The 22,660-nt window shown below is 45.1% G+C and overlaps 2 protein-coding genes across 11 annotated transcripts in view, besides 3 other annotated features; both read right to left on the bottom strand.

Moving 5' to 3' along the window:
- Positions 1–142: 142 nt before the first annotated feature.
- Positions 143–14,578, bottom strand: HTRA4 (HtrA serine peptidase 4). Of its 3 annotated transcripts, NM_153692.4 has the most exons (9): positions 14,077–14,578; positions 13,676–13,775; positions 12,067–12,271; positions 10,659–10,853; positions 9,559–9,591; positions 7,039–7,153; positions 6,251–6,308; positions 5,758–5,853; positions 143–870 (listed from the first exon to the last, which is right to left on the bottom strand). In NM_153692.4, the coding sequence occupies exons 1-9, from the start codon at positions 14,540–14,542 to the stop codon at positions 708–710; spliced, it is 1,431 nt and encodes a 476-aa protein (NP_710159.1). In that variant the 5' UTR covers positions 14,543–14,578; the 3' UTR covers positions 143–707. The 3 variants fall into 3 exon arrangements, with proteins under 3 accessions (NP_710159.1, XP_011542733.1, XP_011542734.1); XM_011544431.3 differs by lacking the exons at positions 143–870; positions 5,758–5,853; positions 6,251–6,308 and adding an exon at positions 5,861–6,212; XM_011544432.2 differs by lacking the exons at positions 143–870; positions 5,758–5,853; positions 6,251–6,308; positions 7,039–7,153 and adding an exon at positions 8,321–8,847.
- Positions 9,122–9,416: a silencer, noted in NCBI's record as "tiled region #15086; HepG2 Repressive non-DNase unmatched - State 23:Low". NCBI's record gives its function as "represses a minimal TATA promoter and a strong SV40 promoter by Sharpr-MPRA in HepG2 cells {active_cell/tissue: HepG2}" and the evidence as "EXISTENCE:reporter gene assay evidence [ECO:0000049][PMID:27701403]".
- Positions 13,942–14,001: an enhancer, noted in NCBI's record as "active region_27271". NCBI's record gives its function as "activates an Ori minimal core promoter by ATAC-STARR-seq in GM12878 lymphoblastoid cells {active_cell/tissue: GM12878}" and the evidence as "EXISTENCE:reporter gene assay evidence [ECO:0000049][PMID:35858748]".
- Positions 14,182–14,411: a silencer, noted in NCBI's record as "silent region_19139". NCBI's record gives its function as "represses an Ori minimal core promoter by ATAC-STARR-seq in GM12878 lymphoblastoid cells {active_cell/tissue: GM12878}" and the evidence as "EXISTENCE:reporter gene assay evidence [ECO:0000049][PMID:35858748]".
- A 315-nt stretch (positions 14,579–14,893) lies between the features above and the next one.
- PLEKHA2 (pleckstrin homology domain containing A2) overlaps positions 14,894–22,660 on the bottom strand; it is a 72,567-nt gene continuing 64,800 nt past the window's right edge. For all 8 annotated transcript variants that reach the window (NM_021623.2, XM_047422067.1, XM_011544607.4 and 5 more), the window contains 2 exons: positions 20,137–20,214; positions 14,894–19,385 (listed from right to left, as the gene is read on the bottom strand). In NM_021623.2, the coding sequence (NP_067636.1) occupies positions 19,023–19,385; positions 20,137–20,214 (441 nt within the window). In that variant the 3' untranslated portion in view covers positions 14,894–19,022. The remainder of the gene's footprint in view (positions 19,386–20,136; positions 20,215–22,660) is intronic.

The raw sequence follows: 22,660 nt of genomic DNA, 5'->3' as shown, positions 1-22,660 counted from the left end.
TCCTGGCACTGTGTTCTTCTTCCACTTGACATAGTCAGGCATCTTAGCAACAGTATAGTACCCCAACCTAATGATCCCTGAATGTGTATATGTGTTTCAAACTCCATTTTTCTTATTTTTTAATTGTAATCTCACAACATTACCATTTTTCTTTTTATTTTTATTTTTAAGTTCTGAGGTACATATGCAGGATGTGCAGGTTTGTTTCATAGGTAAATGTGTGCCATGATGGTTTGCTGCACCTATCAATCAACCCATCACCTGGGTGTTAAGCCCAGCATGCATTAGCTATTTTTGCTAATGCTCTCCCTCCCTCTACCCTACCCACTGCCAGGCCCCAGTGTGTGTTGTTCCCCTCCCTATGTTCATGTGTTCTCATTGTTCAGCTCCCACTTATAAGTGAGAACATGCAGTATTTGGTTTTCTGTTCCTGCGTTAGTTTGCTGAGGATAATGGTTTCCAGCTCCATCCATGTCCCTGCAGAGGACTGTTGCTTTTTATGGCTGCATAGTATTCCATGGTGTATATGTACCACATTTGCTTTATCCAGTCTGTCATTGATGGGCATTTGGGTTGATAACCATCCATTTTTCTTTGTAAGAAAAAGATCCAAAAACTTCTTGCCATGTTTGGCACATCTCCAATACAAACCACGTGATATAACTGGTTTTTTTTTTTTTAGATAATCCCACTTTAAAACAAGATATTTAATTGATTGTTTCAGGTATGACTGTCAGGAGCAAATTATCTTTTCCCCGAAGAACAGCCATGGAAAGGGAATCACTGTCAAGAGCTTTAACAACATCAGTTGTAGTAGTAATAGGTTTCCCATTTATGTTGACAATTACATCGTGATCTCTCAATCCAGAGCTGAGAGAGGGAGAAAAAAAAGAGGATCATGAAACTATAACAAGAATTTTACTTATCCCCATCTATAATTTAATATTTCTGTCTTAATGGCACTATTTTGCTGGCATTAAGCATACAAACGAGAAAATAGCCTCAATCCTTCCAAATCATAAAGCTATTCTAAAATATGCTGCAAAAAAGTCACCTAGAGGACAACTGTCTTATTTACCTTTATAAAATTAATTTCCTATCAGAATCATGTGAGAAGTTTACTCCTCCCATTTTGGGGAGTTGGTTTGGAAGGGGGAGTTTAGCTTTTAATTTCTATCAACCCCTGACCTCTGTGAACTTCAAACATGCTCCCAGCCTCAGCAGCCAAAGTGAAAAGCCCAAGCAATATGTTTTCTCCCAGACACTTAAACTCGGCTCAGTTTGATTCTGGCAGCCCACTCACTTGCCTGTCTTTCCCACCCCACCCCACCCCCCCGCCCCAGCTTATGGAGCTGGGAAGGATGCTGAGCTGCATTATAGGAATTCTGCTTCCACTAAATCAAAAACCCGCCAACCTTCTGAGTCTAAATATTTCCAGCTCTGGCTCTAGGCTCCTTTTCTCCAAAGTTGTGACTTTATTGCCTTCAACATAATTGCTTCACATAGAGTATATATTCTAGAAGCAAAAACCAGCTCCAAATACAAAACACTACAATACAGAAATAGCCATGCCAGTGATTTGGTGAAAATAGGCTGAAAAAGGAACAGCAAATGACTCCAGGAGACACCACTTGATAGAAATGGGAAGCTCAAGGAAGAATGATAATGTGGTTTGATCATCAAGATATGTGGAGTTTAAAAAGAAGAAGCTTAACGCAAGAGGATATGAAGAGACGCTTAAGTATAAAACTAAAATCAAGAAATAACCTTAGAACAAAGACAGTTTAGGAGGATGACTTAGGACCAGTGAGTACAAAGAAAGAACTTATAGAGAACTTAATTCATACTAGTCCTGTGAGTCAGAAAAGAGAAAAAGAAACCTGCAAATTATTACTAATAACCTATGCACCAAATATGAGGAACTATGGCTCAGACAGGACAAATGACCTTTTTCTGTGTCATGCAACTTGTGAGAGGGATTTCATCCTGGGTCTTTCAGACTTGGGAACCCATCTTCTTGCCACTAAATCACTCTGCCTGTCAGAAACAGAAAAGCAGCCACCAAAGCAGGATAATAGAAGGGTTCAGCCAGGGCCCACATCCCTGCTCTCTGCTCTCTGATTTACTGCGTTCTACAAGTTAATGAACCTCTTTGTACCACAGCTGCTTCCTCTATAAAATAATACCTATATCATAAAATGTTGGGAGCACAAACAGGTGTATAAAACACTTCAAATAGGCCAGGAGCAGTGGCTCACACTGTAATCCCAGCACTTTGGGAGCCACAGGCGTGTGGATCACCTGAGGTCAGGAGTTCGAGACCAGCCTGCCCAACATAGTGAAACCTCGTCTCTATTAAAAGTACAATAATTAGCTAGGTGTGTAATCCCAGCTACTTGGGAGACTGAGGCAGAAGAATCGCTTGAACCCAGGAGGCGGAGGTTGCAGTGAGCTGAGATCATGCCATTGCATTCCAGCTGGGGCAACAAGAGCGAAACTCAGTCTCAAAAAAATAATAATAATAAAAATAAAACACTTCAAATAGTGCCTGAGATATAGTAAAAGTTTTGTAAGTGCCAGATAGTGGTGTAATTATCATTATATTAGGTATAAGTCAGTGAAAGCCAGAAAGAATAGATTTGTTTGAGACAGGTTCTCACTCTCTTACCCAGGCTGGAATACAGTGGTGCAGTCATGGCTCACTGCAGCCTCAAACTCCTGGGCTCACATGATCCTCCTGCCTCAGCCTCCCTACAGGCACCTGCCACCACACCCAGCTGATTTTGTTTATTTTATTTATTTGTCTTTAGAAACTATGTTGCTCAGGCTGGTCTCAAACTCCTGGTTTCAAATGATCCTCCCACATCATGGCATGAGCCACCATGCCCAGTCCTGATTTCTGTTTATCAGCAACTTCCAGCACTAATTTTCACATTTTAACATACACATGAATCACCTGGGGATCTTGTTAAACACACAGATTCCGATTCAGTGGATCAAAGGTGGGACCTGGGATTCTGCCTTTCCAACAAGCCCCAGCTGAGCTAATGACGCTGGTCTACAGACCACATTCTGAGTAGCAAGGACTTAGCCGAAAGAAATAGCTTTGGTCTTGAACCAGAACTTAAGGAAATGGGGGAAGAGTGGAGCAGAGCAGGAATGAGAAAAGTCCAGAGAAACCAGGGACAAGCCAAATTTAGTAACATGAGACCTATGACTGCTGTGCTGAACAGTGCCCTCTGATTTCACTAGGGGGAAAGCCCCAGTGAAAGTGGTGCCATAATCTAAACAGATTACTGAGCTCTTGAAAAATAAAAACAATGAGAAAGGGATAATAAAGAAGTACAGACCGCGGGCGGTGGCTCACGCCTGTAATCCCAGCACTTTGGGAGCCCGAGGCAGGCGGATCACAAGGTCAAGAGATGGATACCATCCTGGCCAACATGGTGAAAACCCATCTCTACTAAAAATACAAAAATTAGCTGCGCGTGGTGGCACACGCCTGTAGTGCCAGCTCCTCGGGAGGCTGAGGCAGGAGAATCACTTGAACCCAGGAGGCAGAGGTTGCAGTGAGCCGAGATCGCATCACTGCACTCCAGCCTGGTGACAGAGCGAGACTCCGTCTCAAAAAAAAAAAAAAAAAAGAAGTACAACAGAAAAGCCCAGGAGAATGATATTTGTAGGACAAGCCACCTCTCTCAGTACTTAGTATTAAATGTTTTGAAACAACAGTGAAATCAGCTGGAGAACCTTCTTTTGGAAGCTGTCCTAGCCTTTGCTTTATTACACAGGTCTTAGCGCTGGCCTCTGATATTGTCATTCAGAGTTCAAAGAAAAATGTAGGTTTTGTGAGGTTTTGGTGTAGTTTTTTTTTGCTTGTTTGTTTGTTTGAGACAGGGTCTCACTCTGTTGCACAGGCTGGAGTGCAGTGGCATGAGCACAGCTCATTACAGCCCAGACTCAGGTGATCCTCCCATCTCGACCTCCCCAAGTAACTGGGACCACAGGTGCAAACCACCACACCTGGCTAATTTTTGTTTTTTGTTTTTTGTTTTTTTAAATGGGGTCTCGCTTTCTTGCCCAGGCTGGAGTACAGGGGCGTGATCCCAGCTCACTGCAACCTCTGCTGCCCAGGTTCAAGCGATTCTCTGACCTCAGCCTCCCAAGTAGCTGGGATTACAGGCATGCGACACCACACCCAGCTAATTTTTATATTTTTTAAGTAGGGATGGTGTTTCACCAAGTTTGCCAGGCTGGTCTCAAAATCCTGACCTCAAGTGATCTGCCCACTTTGGCCTCCCAAAGTACTGGGATTACAGGCGTGAGTCACGGCACCTGGCCTAATTTTTATTTTTTGTAGAGACAGGGTTTCACCGTGTTCCCCAGGCTGGTCTCGAACTCTCAGGCTCAAGCAATCCTCCCACCTCAGCCTCCCAAAGTGCTAGGATTACAGGGCTGAGCCAACATGCCCAGCCGAAAAATGTGTTTTAAAATACCTAAAATATGGCCAGGCGTGGTGGCTCATGCCTGTAATCCCAGTACTGTGGGAGGCCGAGGTGGGTGGATCACTTGAGGTCAGGAGTTCGAGACCAGCCTGGCCAACATGGTGAAACCCTGTCTCTACTAAAAATACAACAATTAACCAAGCGTGGTGGCGGGTGCCTGTAATCCCAGCTACTCGGGAGGCTGAGGCAGGAGAATTGCTTGAACCTGAGAGGTGGAGGTTGCAGTGAGCCAAGATTGCACCACTGCACTGCAGCCTGGGCAACGAGTGAGACTCCATCTCAAAAGAAAAAAAAACTATTAATGAATAATTAATAGTTACTAATACCTAATAGGTGTTAATCACTTAATAGTTATTAAGTAATAACTATTAATGTTGAAAGGGTAGATTTGGGAATTCCTAGCCAAATTAATTTAAACTTATGCTATTAACTCATAACATGAGCTCTTCTTAGACTATAGAGAACCACCTCCCTCCCAAAATACAAAAAAAGCCTTTATAAGTACCCAAGTCTGAATCAGCACTGTCCTGTAGACAATAATGCAAGCCACATACATAATTTTAAATTTTCTTGTAGCCACATTTTTAAAAATTTTTAAATAGATGAATTTAATTTAATAATATATCTTATTTAATACAATATATCCAAATATTATCATTTAACGTGATATTTTTAAAATAGTTATTTTACACTCTGTTTCCTATGTCTTTGAAATCCACTTGAAATAACACACCCCCCCAATATACTACTATATAATGATAATATTTTTTTTTTTGAGGTGGAGTCTTGCTCTGTCGCCCAGACTGGAGTACAGTGGCGTGATCTCAGCTCACTGCAACCTCTGCCTCCCATGTTCAAGCGATTCTCCTGCCTCAGCCTCCCAAGTAACTGCAATTACAGGCGCACCCACTAATTTTTGTATTTTTAGTAGAGACGGGGTTTCAGTATGTTGGCCATGCTGGTCTCAAACTCCTGACCTCAGGTGATCCACCCACCCTGGCCTTCCAAAGTGCTGGGATTACAGGCATGAGCCACTGCACCTGGCCTGGGTTTTTTAATTTAAATTAAACTTACTTTAATTCAAAATTCAGTTCCTCAGTCACACTGGCCACATTTCATGTGCTCAGTACATACTACATGTAAGTAGTGGCCACTGTATTGGACAGATCAAGTCTGGATCCCCCATGCATTTTACCATGGCACACATTTAGAAAAAGCAAAGGTAGATGACAAAGGCCTTCACTTCTCTTACCTTTGAGCAGCTGTTCCTTCAACCACTTTACATACATAAACCCCAGAACTCACATCAGGGAAATCTGGATAATGCATTTTCAATTCTTCACTAAGGCTAAGAGAAGTGAGAAGATTAGGAAACAATGAATTAGTCTCCTGAGCCCTGGTAAAAGCCTGAAATTCTTAGTAGGTACTCTGTTCTGCTCAAGGTTCACAAGGGCCGAGGAAGATTCCATCAAGCTAATCACAGTCATTCTCCTCTCAGTTCGGGCTGAGCCTCTATCCCAAAGCCTAGAACCACTGGACATTATAAAATACAGCCACAATGAAATAAACTATGTATAGTTAGTGCTGATGCAGGCAGAGGCAGATACATACCCTGAGACAGATAGGGCCTATGGTCACAAGAGTACCTGGCTGTGGTCCAAGTGGCTCAGCTTTTCTGTTAAGACTGTGCAGCTATGGTTTTTGCCTCTGAAAAACAACCCAGACATATTCAAACACATGCTTACGGCACAGTGAGGGACAGCATTTGCAGACCCAGATATTTCTTATTTGAAAACGCCTTTCCTGGAAAGGAAAGTTATGATGTGTTACAACAAAACCTCTTTCCTGTTAGCGCAGCTTAAAAGACACCCATGTCCCAGGATCTCTTTGCCATCACAGCTGTCCTTTCAGGTTACCTGGATGAAACACAGGCTTCAGAGAACCTTTGTCATTAGCACTTACACTCCTCCCACCCACCTCCCACCTCCAGCCCCTGGGTTTCATTTCCACATTAGCTCAATCCAAATACTTCTGGGTACAACTCATGCTTGGTTTGTGCCTAGTCCCCCAATATTGCTGCTCAAATCACCATTATAGGAGCTGAGTACAAATGAGTGACCCAGTAGTCTACAGGATTCAAATGGCTGTCTCCGGGCCAGGCATGGTGGTTCATGCCTGTAATCCCAGCACTTTGGGAGGCCGAGGCAAGCGGATCACTGGAGGTCAGGAGTTCAAGACCAGCCTGGCCAACATAGTGAAACCCCGTCTCTACTGAAAATACGAAAATGAGCTGGGCGTGGCAGTGGGTGCCTGTAGTCCCAGCTACTCGGAAGGCTGAGGCAGGAGAATCGCTTGAACCCAGGAGGCAGAGGTTGCAGTAAACCAAGATCACGCCACTGCACTCCAACCTGGATGACGAGCAAAATTCTGTCTCAAAAACAAAAACAAAAAAATTGCTGTCACCACAAAAGATTGAGTGTTCCTGAAAAGCACAAGACGAAACCAAAAAAAAAAAAATCCCAACTTGCTTTACCTTTCATCTGGTGCTCATGGTATTCTGCCAAGAACTGCCTAACTCGATCTGAAGGAATTGCAAAGGAGATTCCATCAGTCACCCTCAATGAATTGACGCCAATCACATCACCATCCTGGCAAGGGAGGGGACATCATTCAGTCATGAAGTTTTGCAAACTGATGAGTGCAAGACCAGAACAAGCAGAAGAAGGAGTGAAGCTAGTTACTTAGGGTCAGAAAACAGGGCCGAGAGGAACTTTGTACTTCAAAAGAGAGCAACGGATGTTCCTTTATAGGGCAAATAGTGTGATGGGACAGCAAAGGGTAACTGCACATGCGCAGAAGTTACCTTCTTTTCATGGCCAAAGGATCAAGGATGCTGAGGACTTTTTAAAATCTTGAGCTCATGGCTGGGCAGAGTGGCTCACGCCTGTAATCCCAGCACTTTGGGAGGCCGAGGCGGGCGGATCACGAGGTCAGGAGATCGAGACCATCCTGGCTAACATGGTGAAACCCCATCTCTACTAAAAATATAAAAAATTAGCCGGGCCTGGTGGCGGGTGCCTGTAGTCCCAGCTACTCGGGAGGCTGAGGCAGGAGAATGGCGTGAACCCGGGAGGCGGAGCTTGCAGTGAGCCGAGATCGCGCCACTGCACTCCGGCCTGGGCGACCTAGCGAGACTCCGTCTCAAAAAAAAAAAAAAAAAAAAAAAAAAAAAAAAAACTTAAGCTCATTTTTTTCCTTTAGTAAGTTACATTGACTTTAAAAGTGAGCCACAGTTTGTATTTTGACAAAGGTAGAAGGACAAGGAGCATTTGCCTTTTTATTATTTAAAAGTAAAAATAAACATGGAAAAGGTAAAAAGCTGTGGGATTGTCAGTAACACTGCACTGAGAATTAGCAAAATTGACCTTAGGGAACAAAGCTCTGCTAAGCTAAAGGTATGAGGTAGAAAATATTTTCCTCTTTATGTACCTCATCTTCCTTTAGCCTTTTAGGTAATGGGAAAGGATAAAAAAGAGATTTCTTTTTTTTTTTCTTTTCTTTTTGAGACGGAGTCTCACTGTGTTGCCCAGGCTGGAGTGCATTGGTGCAACCTTGGCTCATTGCAACCTCTGCCTCCCGGGTTCAAGCGATTCTCCTGCCTCAGCCTCCCAAGTAGCTGGGATTACAGGCGCATGCCACCATGCCCAGTTAATTTTTTTTTTTTTTTGTATGTTAGGTAGAGATGGGGTTTCACCATGTTGGCCAGGCTGGTTTTGAACTCCTGACCTCAGGTGATCCACCCACCTCAGACTCCCAAAGTGCTGGGATTACAGGAGTGAGCCACCGTACCCAGCCAGAAAAGAGATTTCTGATTGTGTTAAACTACAGATTGTAATTCAGTAGGTCGGGGGTATGGCCTGAAATTCTGCATTTCATCCCTGCTCTAGTAAACTCATTGTCTAATGGAGAAGGCAGGAACAAAACAAAGAAAAATGACATGCAATGCTATGAGTAAAAAAAAAAAAACAATCATTTTGCATAAAATTCATTCTAAAAGCAAATGTAATATTTAAACAGGAACCAAAAGCAATCAGTGCAAAGGGACTCAGAAAGGATGATCACATGCTATGTGTCAAACAGCATTGCACTCTCTTAGGTTTTCACATGTATTTGGGCAACTAGAAACCCTGACATTTCCACTAGAGACACGGAATACAATTTAAGAATACATGACACGGCAATGTATTTGAGAGGCCAAGGCAGGCAGCTCACTTGAAGTCAGGAGTGCTGGTTGTGGCTTTTCTCTCATCTATAAGCAGGTCAAGAGGTCAAGACTAAAAACCTGGACAGATGACATTATGTAATTAGCATTTTTAAATGAGAGATAGTTCTTCATATGCAGCATCAAGGAGTCTTCAAGGACCTACATTTCATAGCAAAGCTGGTCATTTGGCATAAACCTGGGTTTAATATCCAGGGCTTTTGGCACAGCATGGTGGCTCATGCCTGTAATCCTAACACTTTGGGAGGCCAAGGCAGGAGGATCACTTGAACTCAGGAGTTTGAGACCAGCCTGGGCAACATAGTGAGACATCGTCTCTATTAAATAAATAAATAAATAAATAAAATCCAGGGCTTTGGGTAACTAGCCAATGAAAACAGAAAGCACGGGGAAGAGAGAAATTTCAAAGGAAGCCGGAGCTAGAACCCTAGTGTTCTCAGTGGGATGAGATCACACACCAGGATAACAATCTTGAATTTTTTCTAACTATTGACTTAAGGTCCAAGAACAGAAAAGCACCATTCCACAGCTCTCTACACAAGAGTGGCACCCAAGTCTGCATCATGGAATATGTAAAGTCCTTTTTTGTTTTTGTTTTTGTAGATATGGTGTCTTGCTGTCTTGCCCAGGCTAGTCTCAAACTCCTGGCCCCAAGCAGTCATCCCAAATGTGCTGGGATTACAGGCATGAGCCACCACCCCTGGCCTGGAATTAATAAAGTCTTTGAAAGTTAAGAAGAAACATGAAGCAACAAGGAAAGTGATCACTTACCAAGTTCACCAGAGGACCACCAGAATTCCCATACTAAAAGCAGAATTTGAAAAAGACATCAGTGAAGCTAATGAATACATTCCCCCTTGTCCTTTACACATAGCTCCCAAAACAGTTTACCAAAAGCAGCCCACCAAGCTCCTATTCCCCCCAGGCCGGCAAAATTGTGCCCCTATCATCACCAATACCAAAGTCAGTGTAGGTAAAGAACTATAGCAGTGGGACCACCACCTTCATTTTTTTTTTTTTTTTTTGAGACGGAGTCTTACTCTGTTGCCCAGGCTGGAATGCAATGGCGCAATCTCGACTCACTGCAACCTCTGCCTCCCGGTTCAAGTGATTCTCCTGCCTCAGCCTGCTGAGTAGCTGGGATTACAGGCACCCGCCACCATGCCCAGCTAATTTTTGTATTTTTAGTAGAGACAGGGTTTCATCATGTTGGCCAGACTGGTCTCGAATGCCTGACCTCATGATCCACCCCCTTCGGCCTCCCAAAGTGCTGGGATTACAGGCATGAGCCACCGTGCCTGGCCAAGGGACCACCACCTTCTTACAGGAGGGGTGACCTCTACAACAGACCACCTAATAGCATGGATGCCAGCGATCACAGCGAACGAGACAGACTCTAACAAAGTGGCATTCCATTCCTCCCACAGTGATTCAACCAAACCTGGACATCCCCAAAGTTCACTCTGACATATTCTTCTCACTGAACTGCCAATATTGTGTGATCTGAGGAAAGGCCTCCTAAGTCAGCAATCCCCAAACTTTTTGGCACAGGGACCGGCTTTGTGGAAGACAATTTTTCCACAGACGGAGGGGTGGTTTGGGATGAAACTGCTCCACCTCAGATCATCGGGCATGAGTTAGATTCTATAAGGAACATGCAATCCAGATCCCTTGCATGCGCAGTTCACAATAGGGTTTGCACTCCTATGAGAATTTAATGCCGCCACTGATCTGACAGGAGGTGGAACTCGGGCAGTCATTCTCACTCGCCCATGGCTCACAGCCTGCTGTGCGGCCCAGTTCCTAACAGGCCATGGACCTGTACTGGTCCACAGCCCATGGGTTGGGCACCTCTGTCCTAAGTGACTTACATTAATTGTGGCATCAATCTGGACGTAGTCCATATCTGAATCCTTCATCCCCAGTTCTTTGCCCCCTCGCTGTTTGGTGCTGACAATTCCTGCAGTAGCTGTGTTCTGCAGAGAAAATGGGCTGCCCAAAGCCACCACAAACTCTCCAGCCCGAAGGTCAGATGATCTTCCCAGCATCAGTACAGGAAGTTCAGCCTGCACGTGCCCAAAAAGGGATGGGGAGGACAGAAAGGGTAAAGAACAAATCACGATCAGAATTGACCAAAGTGTGTGTCTAACACATATATGACGCTGTCTCTATCACCTTGGCCCTTACCACCTGAGAAGCACCCACTCACACAGCTTCTATGATTGCCTTCTACTTCTTCCTCAAAGTCCAACTACCATGAAGCTCTTGAGTGTTAAGATGACTAGGATCATTTCTAAGATCTAAAACAATTACTTTGTAGAAATTACTATTAGTAAACAGCCAGTGAAGTCACTGATGAACATAAACTGACATTAGGAATTTACACAGCACCATTCCAGCTCAAAGCTTAACAGTCAAAGTGAATAAGCCACAAACAGAAAGGAGATCACCCAGGGTGACACTTCTCACACTGTAATGTGCATGCAAATCACCTAGGGATGTTATGTTAATGCAGATTCTGAGTCAGCACATCTATCTGGGTAAAGGCTGAGACTCTGAACTTCTAAAAAGCTCTCAGACACCATGTCAATATATGTGATGTGCAGACTACCAGTACTATGTGTAGGAAGGACTTCAAAGTATTCCTTAGCAACTTTGAGTCCATCGCAGTAATTTCTGATATCCTAAGACAAGTAGAGAAATAATTTTCCCTGAAGCAGCATTTGTTGAAGGAGGAAAAAAAAAAAAAAAAGACTGCTTGATAGTTAATAGAAACAGTTAGAGGCCAAGCGCAGTGGCTCACACCTGTAATCCCAGCACTTTGGGAGGCCGAAGCGGGCGGATCACTTGAGGTCAGGAGTTCGAGACCAGCCTGGCCAACATGGTAAAACCCAGTCTCTACTAAAAGTACAAAAATTAGCCAGGCGTGGTGGCAGGCACCTGTAATCCCAGGTACTCAGGAAGCTGAGGCAGGAGAATCACTTGAACCCAGGAGGCAGAGGTTGCAGTGAGCTGAGATTGAGCCACTGTACTCCAGCCTGGGTGACAGAGGGAGACTGTTTCAAAAAAAAAGAAAGAAAAGAAAGAAACGGTTAGGGATATACAGAAAGGCGTTGAAGCAAATAAATAAAAGAGGGAGTAAAGAACAGAAAGAAACCAGAGAAAAGCATATATTCAACAGAAAAGATGTGGTGTGAGAGTGTAGTGGGGCAGAAAATATCAGCAAATAGATAAAAATCCCCAAATATGTAGACTCTGACTCAGCCCTGAAATACTCACATTTGATTCAATCTTAATCACCGCAAGATCCAATTTAAGGTCAATATCCTTGACAACAGCTTCATAACGGGCCCCATTCTGGAGCACCACCTCAATCCACTGCTGGTTCCTGACAACATGGGCATTGGTAATAATGAGCCCGTCCTCAGACACTATGAACCCAGAGCCACTGTACACAGGAACAAGCCTGCTGCCGTGAAGTAACCTGTCTCCACAAGACAATAGTGTAAACAGAGGGCAAGAAAGTTAGGGGATACAGCCATATAATCTGAGTCATGGGAACCTCACTCTTATTAAACATACCTCCATCATAGTTTTCTTTTCTTTTCTTTTTTCTTTTTTGAGACAGAATCTCGCTCTGTTGCCCAAGCTGGAGTGCAGTGGCGCAATCTCGGCTCACTGCAACCACCTCCCAGGCTCCTGCCTCAGCCTCCCAAGTAGCTGGGATAACAGGCATGCACCACCACGCCTGGCTAATTTTTGTATTTTTAGTGGAGATGGGGTTTCACCATGTTGGCCAGGCTGCTCTCGAACGCCTGACCTCAGGTGATCCACCCGCCTCGGCCTCCCAAAGTGCTGGGATTACAGGCATGAGCCACCGTACCCAGCCTTCCTTCAGTTTTCTCAGACATTTCACTTTTCCCTGGCTATGCGTAAATTTTCTCCATGTATCAGTGGACTTGGCAGGTACAGGGCCCCAGCCATCTCTTGTGAGCATGGTTGAGAGTGGGGTCCAGCTCTCCTTTTCCAGGGACACTGCTTCTTCAGAGCTGGTTAGTGTAGCAGCCCATGGGTTCTCTGCTGCGAAAAGACTGAACCCAATCCTAATACTAGAGGCAAAAGTCAGCCTCTTACCACAGTATCAAGGACCCAGGCAGGAGAGAATCAAAGGGCTCTGATTCTGGCTTAGTTTCCACCGCCAACTGGCCTCGTAACATAGTAACATAGGACAAATTAACCCTGCTCTCTGGGTCTGGATTTCCTTGTATCCAAAGTGGGGGCTGAGCAAGATCACAACCAAAATGCCTACTAAGCTGGATGTGGTGGCTACACCCGTAATCCCAGCACGTCGGGAGGCTAAGGTGGCAGATCGTTTGGGCCCAGGAGTTCGAGACCAGCCTGAGCAATATAACAAGACCTCGTCTCTACAAAAAAATACAAATATTAGCTGGGTATGGTGGCACCTGCCTATAGTCCCAGTTACTCCAGAGGCTGGGTTGGGAGGATTACTTGAGCCCAGCAGATGGAGCTGCAGTGAGCCGTGATCTGTCACTGCATTTCAGCCCTGGCGACAGAGCAAGACCTTGTCTCAAAAAAAGAAAAGAAATTGCCTACTAGCTCTTATATCTGACCTTAAATTTTGTCTGTGGCAGGAGGGGGAAAAAGCACCAGCCACCTAAGTGGGCAGGGGGAGCTGGGATTTAGAAGTCAGCATCCTTGTGCCTCTGCTCTTTGGTTAAATGACCTTGAACAGGTTATTCAACCTCTTTACGTCTCAGTTTCCTCACTGGTTTTTTAGGATTAAATGACGCTTGCGAAGGGTCTGGAGCAGGTAGGCACGCAGAAACCATTAGCTGGGACAGTGGAGGTCTTCCTCCTCCTCCTTTACCTGCCCCACAGCTGCACGTGAACCACCGATGGCGCCACCTTCTCCACCACCGCGGCGATGAAGTTGTAATTCCTCCTGAGCGGGCCTGCGCTTCTGGTCCCTATGAAAAAATACTGGCTCAAGAGTACGCCTCGAGGGAACCAGACCTGCTATCCTAGTTGGAAAAATGTTAAAGGCAAGACAGTGTTCAAAAGGTGCATGGGGAGGGAGAAACCACGTAGCAGCCGGTAAAGAGCCCCTGTTAAGGAGGAAAGGAAATCAGGAACACAGAGGTGTCGAATCCAGGAGGCAAATGACGCAGGAGGACCAGGCGCGAACTGTGCGGTCTCAGTGAGGTCTTGTTCCTTTACGCTCCTCCAGAGTTAGAAAGTGTTCCGAGGGCGCGCGCCCCCGCGGCTCACCTGTATCCCCGCAGTTCCCCCACTGCACAGGCACGGCCGGGACCTTGCCCAGGCGGCGCGCGGCGCGGTTTTCGGCCCGGAGCGCGCACATGCTGGGGTAGGTGCGCCTGTCGCTGCCGCACACGGCCCCTCCCAGCGTCGGGCAACCGCAGGTGCTGGGGAACCCGGGGCGCAGCGGCTGGAGGCACTGCAGCCCCGGGGCGCACGGTTGGCCCTGCGCCCCGCCGCAGACTTCACGCTCGGCCGCGGGGCAGACGCGGCAACAGCGGCACAGGTCGAACACCGGCGTGGTCCCCAGCGCGCAGGTGGGCAGCGCGGGGCAGCGCGTGGGCTGGCAGACCGCGGGGCAGGAGGGCTGGGTATGTAGCTTTTCAGCCCCGGCCCAGAGGACGGGCACCAGGAGCAGCAGCAGCCCCGGCAGGAGGCATCGTCCCAGCCCCGCGGTCCGCAGCTGAGGTCTAATCATCCTGTTCCTTCCTCGCTTCCACTCTTCAGTGACTTTACTCTGGACCTGCAAACCCTCCTAAATGAGAGACACTTTCTCCCGGCCACGGCGCCGCCTCCGCCGGCCCCCAAACTTTAAGGGGCAGAGCCTGGCATACCTCTGCATATACACACCCGTACATCCCCTACCACCCGCCCCCGTCGGCGCCCCGGAGCCAGGTTCTCCCCCAGGCAATGAGGGGAAGGTCTCTAGCCCTACCCGGAGCAGGAACCTACCTCCTGAAATCCCTAAAACCGACAATGAGGGCAGACTGATAAGAAAGCTCACCCACCCATGGTCAGAAGGTCAGTATTAGGAAAACACATGACCATATTTCAGTATTTCACATGGTTTTATTACAAAACAAGCCACAAAACAGTTTTAGAAAATTTTTGCTACATACCAATTAGGAGATCACATAAAATGAGAAGCGTAACAGTTTCCATGCACTCAGCCTAGAGCTTACAGCGAGTGCATTTCACAGCTGAAACATCACTGCTTTAAAACACAGAATCATGCTACCCCTTCATAAGCAGAGGGGGAGGAGGTCAAACAGTATGTTTTTGCCAAACGTTTGCTTTATCTGAACTCTATCTAGTATGAAGGACTGGCTGCCGCAGGCAATAACACAGAGAGGAAAAGGAACAAAGGAAGAAAAGGGTGCTGGCAGACAAGATTTAACAAACCTGTCCACTTCCGACATTTTGAAAGTTTATAAACAAAGCTCACTTGGGGACACTCAATTTCCAAAATGCTGTGACCTCCACATGTTATCTAATTTATACTGAAAACAAACCTACTAAACTCCACTCCTCAACTACTGAACCTGCTATTTATTCATGGGGTCTTTTTAGCCCATATAAGAGTATATTTATATTCAGAAATATAAAAGAAAAAAAATTTGCTTCAAGTAGACTAAGAAGCTGGACCTTAAAACTACTTTCTTTCTCGTGGGAGCTGAGTATTCAACTCAGAAATAGATGTATAACTCCAATATTCTGACCTGACATCAATCTCCATAATGTATACCTCAATACCCTTATGATGTCTCACTTAACACTAAAGGCCAAATTATTTTTACCAACCATCAGCTGACATTGAGTAAGCAAGTCTTTTGAAGATTTCAAAAGTAATAGATGGTGGCCAGGCGTGGTGGCTCACACCTATAATCTGAGTACTTTGGGAGGCTGTGAGGCAGGAAGATCACTTGAGCCCAGGAGGTCCAGGCTGCAGTGAGCCATGATCAGGCCACTGCACTCCAGCCTGGGTGACAGAGTGAAACACTGTTTCTAAAAATAAAAATTAAAGAATAATGGATGGCATTATTCAGCCATGGGGAGGACCACCTGAAATACTGTTACACACAGTGGGTCAAGACCACTTCAAAAGCCTTATGAAAATAGCACAACTCAGGCAAGGCTTTTATTCCACAAAGAAAATGCAGTACATTTTTTAGTTCCTTTAAAAAAAAAAAAACTCAGATTTACTCCAGAGCCTATGCACTTAGTCACTAATCTATACTGCATCCCCAACCTATTTTTTCCATTTGGTTCAATTTTATACATTTAAAACTAACTGCTTTGGTCAAATACGTACCATCTTTGGTTCACATTAAAAGATTATGGTCCAAAACTGGCCAGAAGTTAAGAAATATCAACAAAATAGGAAGTTTGAAATACAATTTAGGAATGGAATGCTTTTAGAGCTTGTTTCATTGAAGATAATAATTTATCTCATATTGAACTACATTAACGATGTTCTGGCTAGGTGCAGTGGCTCACACCTGTAATCCCAACACTTTAGGAGGCCAAGGCAGGAGGATCACTTGGGCCAGGAGTTTGAGAGAGCCTGGGCAACATAGCCAGGCTCTGTAGATAAAAAAAAATTAAAAATTAGCCAGGCGTGGTAGCACAACCCTGTAGTCCTAGCTACTTGGGAAGCTAACATGGGAGGATTGCTTAAGCCCAGAGATTCAAAGTTATGATGAACTATGATCACACCACTGCACTCTAGCCTGGGTAAGAGAGTGAGACCCTGTCTTTTAAAAATTAAAAAAAAAAAATTAAAAACAAGCAATGCTCTAATGTGGAATTCCCAAGTGTTTGCCAATTGACAAGAAGATTTCCATTTGACAGTCTTAGTGTCCTCGTTTCCCTTTATCAGGATAATACCATATGGATTCTATGTATGTTTAATTTGTCACATTCTCAAAAGAGATCTTGCTGAATAAGAAACAAATCAGCTTATTATAATGGCCAATTAATTTAGCAATAGTAACCTATCAGATAATTTTTTTTTTGAGATGGAGTCTTGCTCTGTCGCCCAGGCTGGAGTGCAGTGGCGCGATCTTGGCTCACTGCAAGCTCCGCCTCCCAGGTTCACACCATTCTCCTGCCGCAGCCTCCCAAGTAGCTGGGACTACAGGCGCCTGCCACTGCGCCCGGCTAATTTTTTTTTCGTATTTTTAGTAGAGACGGGGTTTCACCGCGGTCTCGATCTCCTGACCTCGTGATCCGCTCGCCTCGGCCTCCCAAAGTGCTGGGATTACAGGCGTGAGCCACCTTGCCGGCCTTATCAGATAATTTATTTAAAAGAAAAGAGAGAGAGAGAGATAAATGGGTAGATTTTCACAATGTATACACCAAAAGAGGACATCTTTTCCGTGAGTCAGGGAATATTTAAAGAGATATCAAAAGTCCCTATTTTCATGAGTTCCACATCACATATTTTGTGCTTTCTTTGAATAGCCAAAAAATTTTCTTGGGGAAAATACGAGAGTAAAACCAGAGCTAAGGAGCTATAAGAATTTGGAATGGCTTCTTGAAATCATGCCGCTCCAAGTATGTCATAACCTCGATCACTCAAAAATACATAACTCCCAAACCAAGAATTTCTGAGGGCAAAAGCACACCAGCGTGTATAGGAAAGGCAGGGGAAGGGATGGAAGGGAGAGAAAGAGGGAACAATGTAGATTTCCTGTTTTATACCAGGAAAACTAGGCCAAACTCAATTTAAATGAATAGCTCCAAAGCAGTGCAGTCAGAAAAAGTTCTCAGTGTGACATAGACTTCAGGGAAACAACACGTCCTGAAAGAAACATGATTCCCCTCAAGCCACAAAGGATTTTCTCATCAAGTGTTTTCACCTCTGCATTAGATTTGGACACAAGAAGAGGAGAGCATTTACTCAGGTAAAAATAGTTCTCTTAGTCTCTTCCTCTAGTTACTAATTTTTAATTTAAAAATACAATTAACTGATCTAGCTGATAAAAGTCACAGACAGAAATAAGCTAAGTTCTCTCTTCCTTTAGGGAACGCTGGTGGCAATTCACCATATAAACTGGATGGAAGAATTCTCCCAGGGACACTGGAAATAGCATCTTCTTATCAAATGGAAGGAGGTACGCCCTAAAATTTGGGTGGGACACTCAATTTTCTTTTATATTTTGAGACGGAGTTTCACTCTTGTTGCCCTGACTGGAGTGCAATGGCGCGATCTTGGCTCACTGCAACCTCCACCTCCTGGGTTCAAGTGAATCTCCTGCCTCAGCCTCTGAGTAGCTGGGATTACAGGCCTGCACCACCACGCCCGGCTAATTTTGCATATTTTTTAGTAGAGGCGGGGTTTCACCATGTTGGCCAGGCTGATCTCGAACTCCTGACCTCAGGTGATCCACCCGCCTCAGCCTCCCAAACTACTGGCATTACAGGCGTGAGCCACCATGCCCGCTCAAAACTCAATTTTCTAGGCTCTTTTATCTGAGGAATCTCTGGCCAGCAACTCATAACATCTAAATCAATGTTTCTATGCCAAGCTTCTATTTCATTAAAAATATATATCTCTCTCTAGATTCTTTTTGTATCTCTTCATGTTAAGTGCATGGAAATTCATCCTATTACAGGGTCTGATCATGCAAGCACACAAGGCTTCATTCAAAGGGCAACAGCAAGAAGAAAGAGAAAGCAAGTTTGCAAGGGTACAAAACACATAGCGCTTAAAATTAGACTAATGCTGGCCCATTCCAAAAGAGCTGCGAGGCACCTGGACTGAAAACAAAATGAAAAAACTAAAACAAGGACAAGGAAATAAAACTTGGTCATTGGTGAAACTGGACTTCCAGCCCCCTCTGGAGAGGAGCTGCTAAAACAATCCCTCTCCAGGAAGACCTCAGAATAGTTAGAATAGAATAGGTAGCTTCCTCTCCACTGAGTATGCCTACAGTTCTAACCTAGTGACTTCCCCAAATTAAATACACTGCGTTGATATTACACACACACACACACACACACACACACACACACACAGCCCAGCTGGATGGGCCCCTCCCTCCCAAAGAGCATCCACAGGAATATGAGTGACATAAAGGCCTCTGACTACCCTCCAACAAGGTAGAGAAACTGAGTCACAGCCTCCTTCTCTCAAGTCCTCCCTCCCTCCCTCCCTCCCATGGCACTGTGCTCCATCACACATCAGAGGTCCGTATGTTTTCATCATCAAGGTTGAACATAAACGGCTTCTCCTTGGGGTGCTGGGGCTCCGATCTGTGCCTTATCCGGGAGCTGGGCAGCACCCCAGGAGCGCTGCCCTCCCCAGGACGAGGCGTGAACAAGGAGTCCTCTGAAGTGTCTCCAGGTGGAAGCAGCTTCTCCCCAGCCTGGGGGACAGGTGTCCAGGGCTGCCAGGAGGAGGCCACAGAGGGGGCTTTGCAGAGGGCTTTCTTTTCCTCCAAAGGTGGCCGCCCCCTGCACAGGATAGAGTTGGGCCCACTTGAAAGGCTGGAGCTTCCAGGTCGGGTCAAAGAAATGGATCTAGAAAAGGACGTTTCCTATAAAAATAAAAGGAAGAAAAAGACAAAAGAAAGTTAGGGCTTTTCAGACAATGTTTATCACAGAGTCCCAGAAAGAGTACCCAACCAGGATCACCACCTCATAAGTCCAAGGATGCTTGCCTACAAAAATGAAATACAGTCAAAAGGATTCACTCCAAATGTGTCAACGTCAGCCTGGCAGTGAAACTTGCAGGACATATCAGAAATTCTGTTTCTCGGCCGGGCGTGGTGGCTCATGCCTGAAATCCCAGCACTTTGGGAGCCCGAGGCAAGTGGATCACCTGAGGTCAGGAGTTTGAGATCAGCCTAGCCAACATGGTGAAACCCCATTTCTACTAAAAATACAAAAAAATCAGCTGGGCGTGGTGGCACGTGCCTGTAATCCCAGCTACTTGGGAGGCTGAGGCAGGAGAATCACTTGAACCTGGGAGGCAGAGGTTGCAGTAAGCTGAGATCGTGCCACTGCACTCCAGTCTGGGCGACAGAGTGAGACTCCGTCTCAAAAAAAAAAAAAAAAAAGAAATTCCATTTCTCTATCTAACCCTACCTCACCTCCTCCCACAACCAAACAGAGAAAAATAAAAATGTGTACCCAAATTAGTAGAATGAGAAAAACAAGCAAGACAGCCTGGGGCTTCAGCTGCACCTCGGGACCAGGCTGCTTGCCTACATCACCAAATAAAACATGCCTGCTTGAGAGGAATTCATCTCTGAGTTGACACTGTGCAACAGAAAGGAAGTGACTTACTCTGGGGTGGCACTTGAGGGCCTGGACAGCTGCGCCAATCTCCTTAATCCAGCTGTGCATGTCTTCTGGACTGTCTGCCTGCAAAACATCCATGGCTCTTACCAAGAAATTTTAGGCACTATGATTTCAGCTTCCAAGTCTCTGACTCAATATTAAGTTTATAAAATTACACCATTAGGGGTAGAAAGCATCCCAGAAATCATCTAGTCCAGTAGCTTTCAGACTTTTAAGGACATGTTTTCCCTGCAATATCTTATTTGACACCCAATAAATAAAACCGCTCAAAGTGGAGCTGCTCTGAAATGAGGCACAGGCTGTGAGGAAGGGGAAAGTTTAAGACCCTATCCGCTGCTGAAGTCCATCACCCCCTCCAGAAAACAACTGATCCAGTCTAGCCTCCTAGTTTTATAAAAAAGGAAAATGAGGCCCAGAAAGCCAAAGCCCAAGGTTTATGGCTGGTAGAGATTCGAGTTCTCCTCACTCTCAACATAGTTGCCTTTCCACTGTAACTATCTGAACAGAATAATCCCACTTTCAATTCCAGCCCTATTAAAGCCAAATCCCACTGTAAATCCTCTAAGATATGTATTGCCTTCAGAAATGGGGCTTTTCTCAGAATACAAGCTACTGGGTCGCTTTGAAATTTACAAGGAACTCAAATAACTCAACAACAACAACAAAACCATAAATCATCCCATTAAAAAGTGTAGGCCAAGCGTGGTGGCTCATGCCTGTAATCTCAGCACTTGGGAGGTCGAGGCGGGTGGATTGCCTGAGCTCAGGAGTTCACGACCAGCCTGGGCAACATGGTGAAACCCCGTCTCTACTAAAATACAAAAAATTAGCCAGGAGTGGTGGCGTGCGCCCGTAGTCCCAGCTATTTGGGAGGCTGAGGCAGGAGAATTGCTTGAACCCAGGAGGCAGAGGTTGCAGTGAGCCGAGATCACACCACTGCACTCCAGTCTGGGTGACAGAGTGAGACTCTGTCTCAAAAAAAAAAAAAAAGTGAGCAAAGGACATGAATAGTTTTCAAAACAAGACATACAAGTGGCCAAGAAGCATATGAAAAAAATGTTCACTATCCCTAATCATTGGAGAAATGCAAATTAAAATCATCTCATACCAGTCAGAATAGCTATTATTAGGACAAAAAACAGATTCTGACAAGGATGTGGGGAAAAGGGACTGCTTATACACTGCTGAAAGGCATGTAAATTAGTACAACCTTTATGGAAAGGAGTAGAGAGATTTCTCAAAGAACTAAAAATAGAACTACCATTCAGGTCAGCAATCCCAATAGTGGGTGTCTCTCCAAAGGAAAAGAAATCATTATATCTTCACATGTGCCCCCAAACCTAAAATAAAACTTTAAAAATTTTTTAAAGAAATCATTATATCAAAAAGATACCTGCACCCTTGTGTTTATTGCAGCAATATTCACAATAGTAAGGTCATGGAACCAACCTAAGTGTCCACCAACAGAGGACTCGATAAAGAAAATGTGGTGTCCATATGTATAATGGAATACTACTCATCTATAAAAATGAATGAAATCGTGTCTTTTGCAGAAATATAGATGAAACTATTATCTTAAGTGAAACAACTCAGACACAGAAAGTCAAATACCACATATTCTCACTTATAACTGGGAGCTAAATAATGGGTACACATGGACATAGGGTGTGAAATAATTGTCACTGGAGACATGGAAGGGAGGGAGGGTGGGAGGCGGGTGAGGGATGAGAAATTACTTGATGCGTACGATGCACAATACTCAGGTGATGGTTACAGCAAAAGCCCAGACTTCACCAAAAGGCAATATATTCATGTAACAAAACCGCACTTGTACCCCTTAAATTTATACAAAAAAAAAAGAGTTGTGACTTTGCTATTGTGAATAAAACTTTTAAAAAAATTTAAAGAGTTGTGGGACTCGCAGCACCAAGCTTCACAGTATGTGAAGGATGAAGCCGAGTTACTTATTTCCTCCCAGAAACAACCTATAAACCCCAGAAGGGGGCAGCAGCGGCTCTATGAAAAAAGGGAGGAAACTCCAGCGGCCTCGCTACTGCCGGTGGAGCCTGTCAGTGCCCTCCAGCTTTATAGGGGTTGAGTTCAAGTGAACAGAGCAAACGCTGGCTAAGGGCCCCACCCGGTGTTACATGCTGCATCAGGTGCCAGACACAGCAATGGGACCAGGCAGAATCTCCAGAAATATGCATGTTAGCCTTCCTCTGTCTCCAGCATCATCCCCTAACAGTCCCACCAAAACACACACGCGTGCATTGGTGTGCACATGCAGATGTATGTGCCACCACCACACACTAGCCCCCAAAGGACTCCACATCCCCCCTCATCCCCCCATCCCCAAAGTGACCCCTCCTCTTTGCATTCTATCAGGAAAAGACAGTAAAACAAAAATTCTCAAACCTGCATCCCTACCCCTTCCTGTCACCCCAAAACAAACCCTCCTTGGTTAGATGTGTGCACCTACAAGGAAAACCGTTCAGGTCCTGGTGCACGA

Source organism: Homo sapiens, chromosome 8 (genome assembly GCF_000001405.40).
Source record: "Homo sapiens chromosome 8, GRCh38.p14 Primary Assembly".
Taxonomy (NCBI): Eukaryota; Metazoa; Chordata; class Mammalia; order Primates; family Hominidae; genus Homo; species Homo sapiens.
Note: the sequence above shows the minus strand (reverse complement) of the source record. Positions and strands in the feature narration are given on the sequence as shown.

Excerpts from the sequence above, each read along its gene's own strand:
- HTRA4 (NM_153692.4), bottom strand. The coding sequence starts at position 14,542 with ATGATTAGACCTCAGCTGCGGACCGCGGGGCTGGGACGATGCCTCCTG. Across the intron at positions 6,309-7,038 it reads CCATGAGCACCAGATGAAAG|GAAAGGCGTTTTCAAATAAG; the intron begins GTAAAGCAAGTT and ends TTTCCTTTCCAG. Across the intron at positions 871-5,757 it reads GAAGGAACAGCTGCTCAAAG|CTCTGGATTGAGAGATCACG; the intron begins GTAAGAGAAGTG and ends TCCCTCTCTCAG.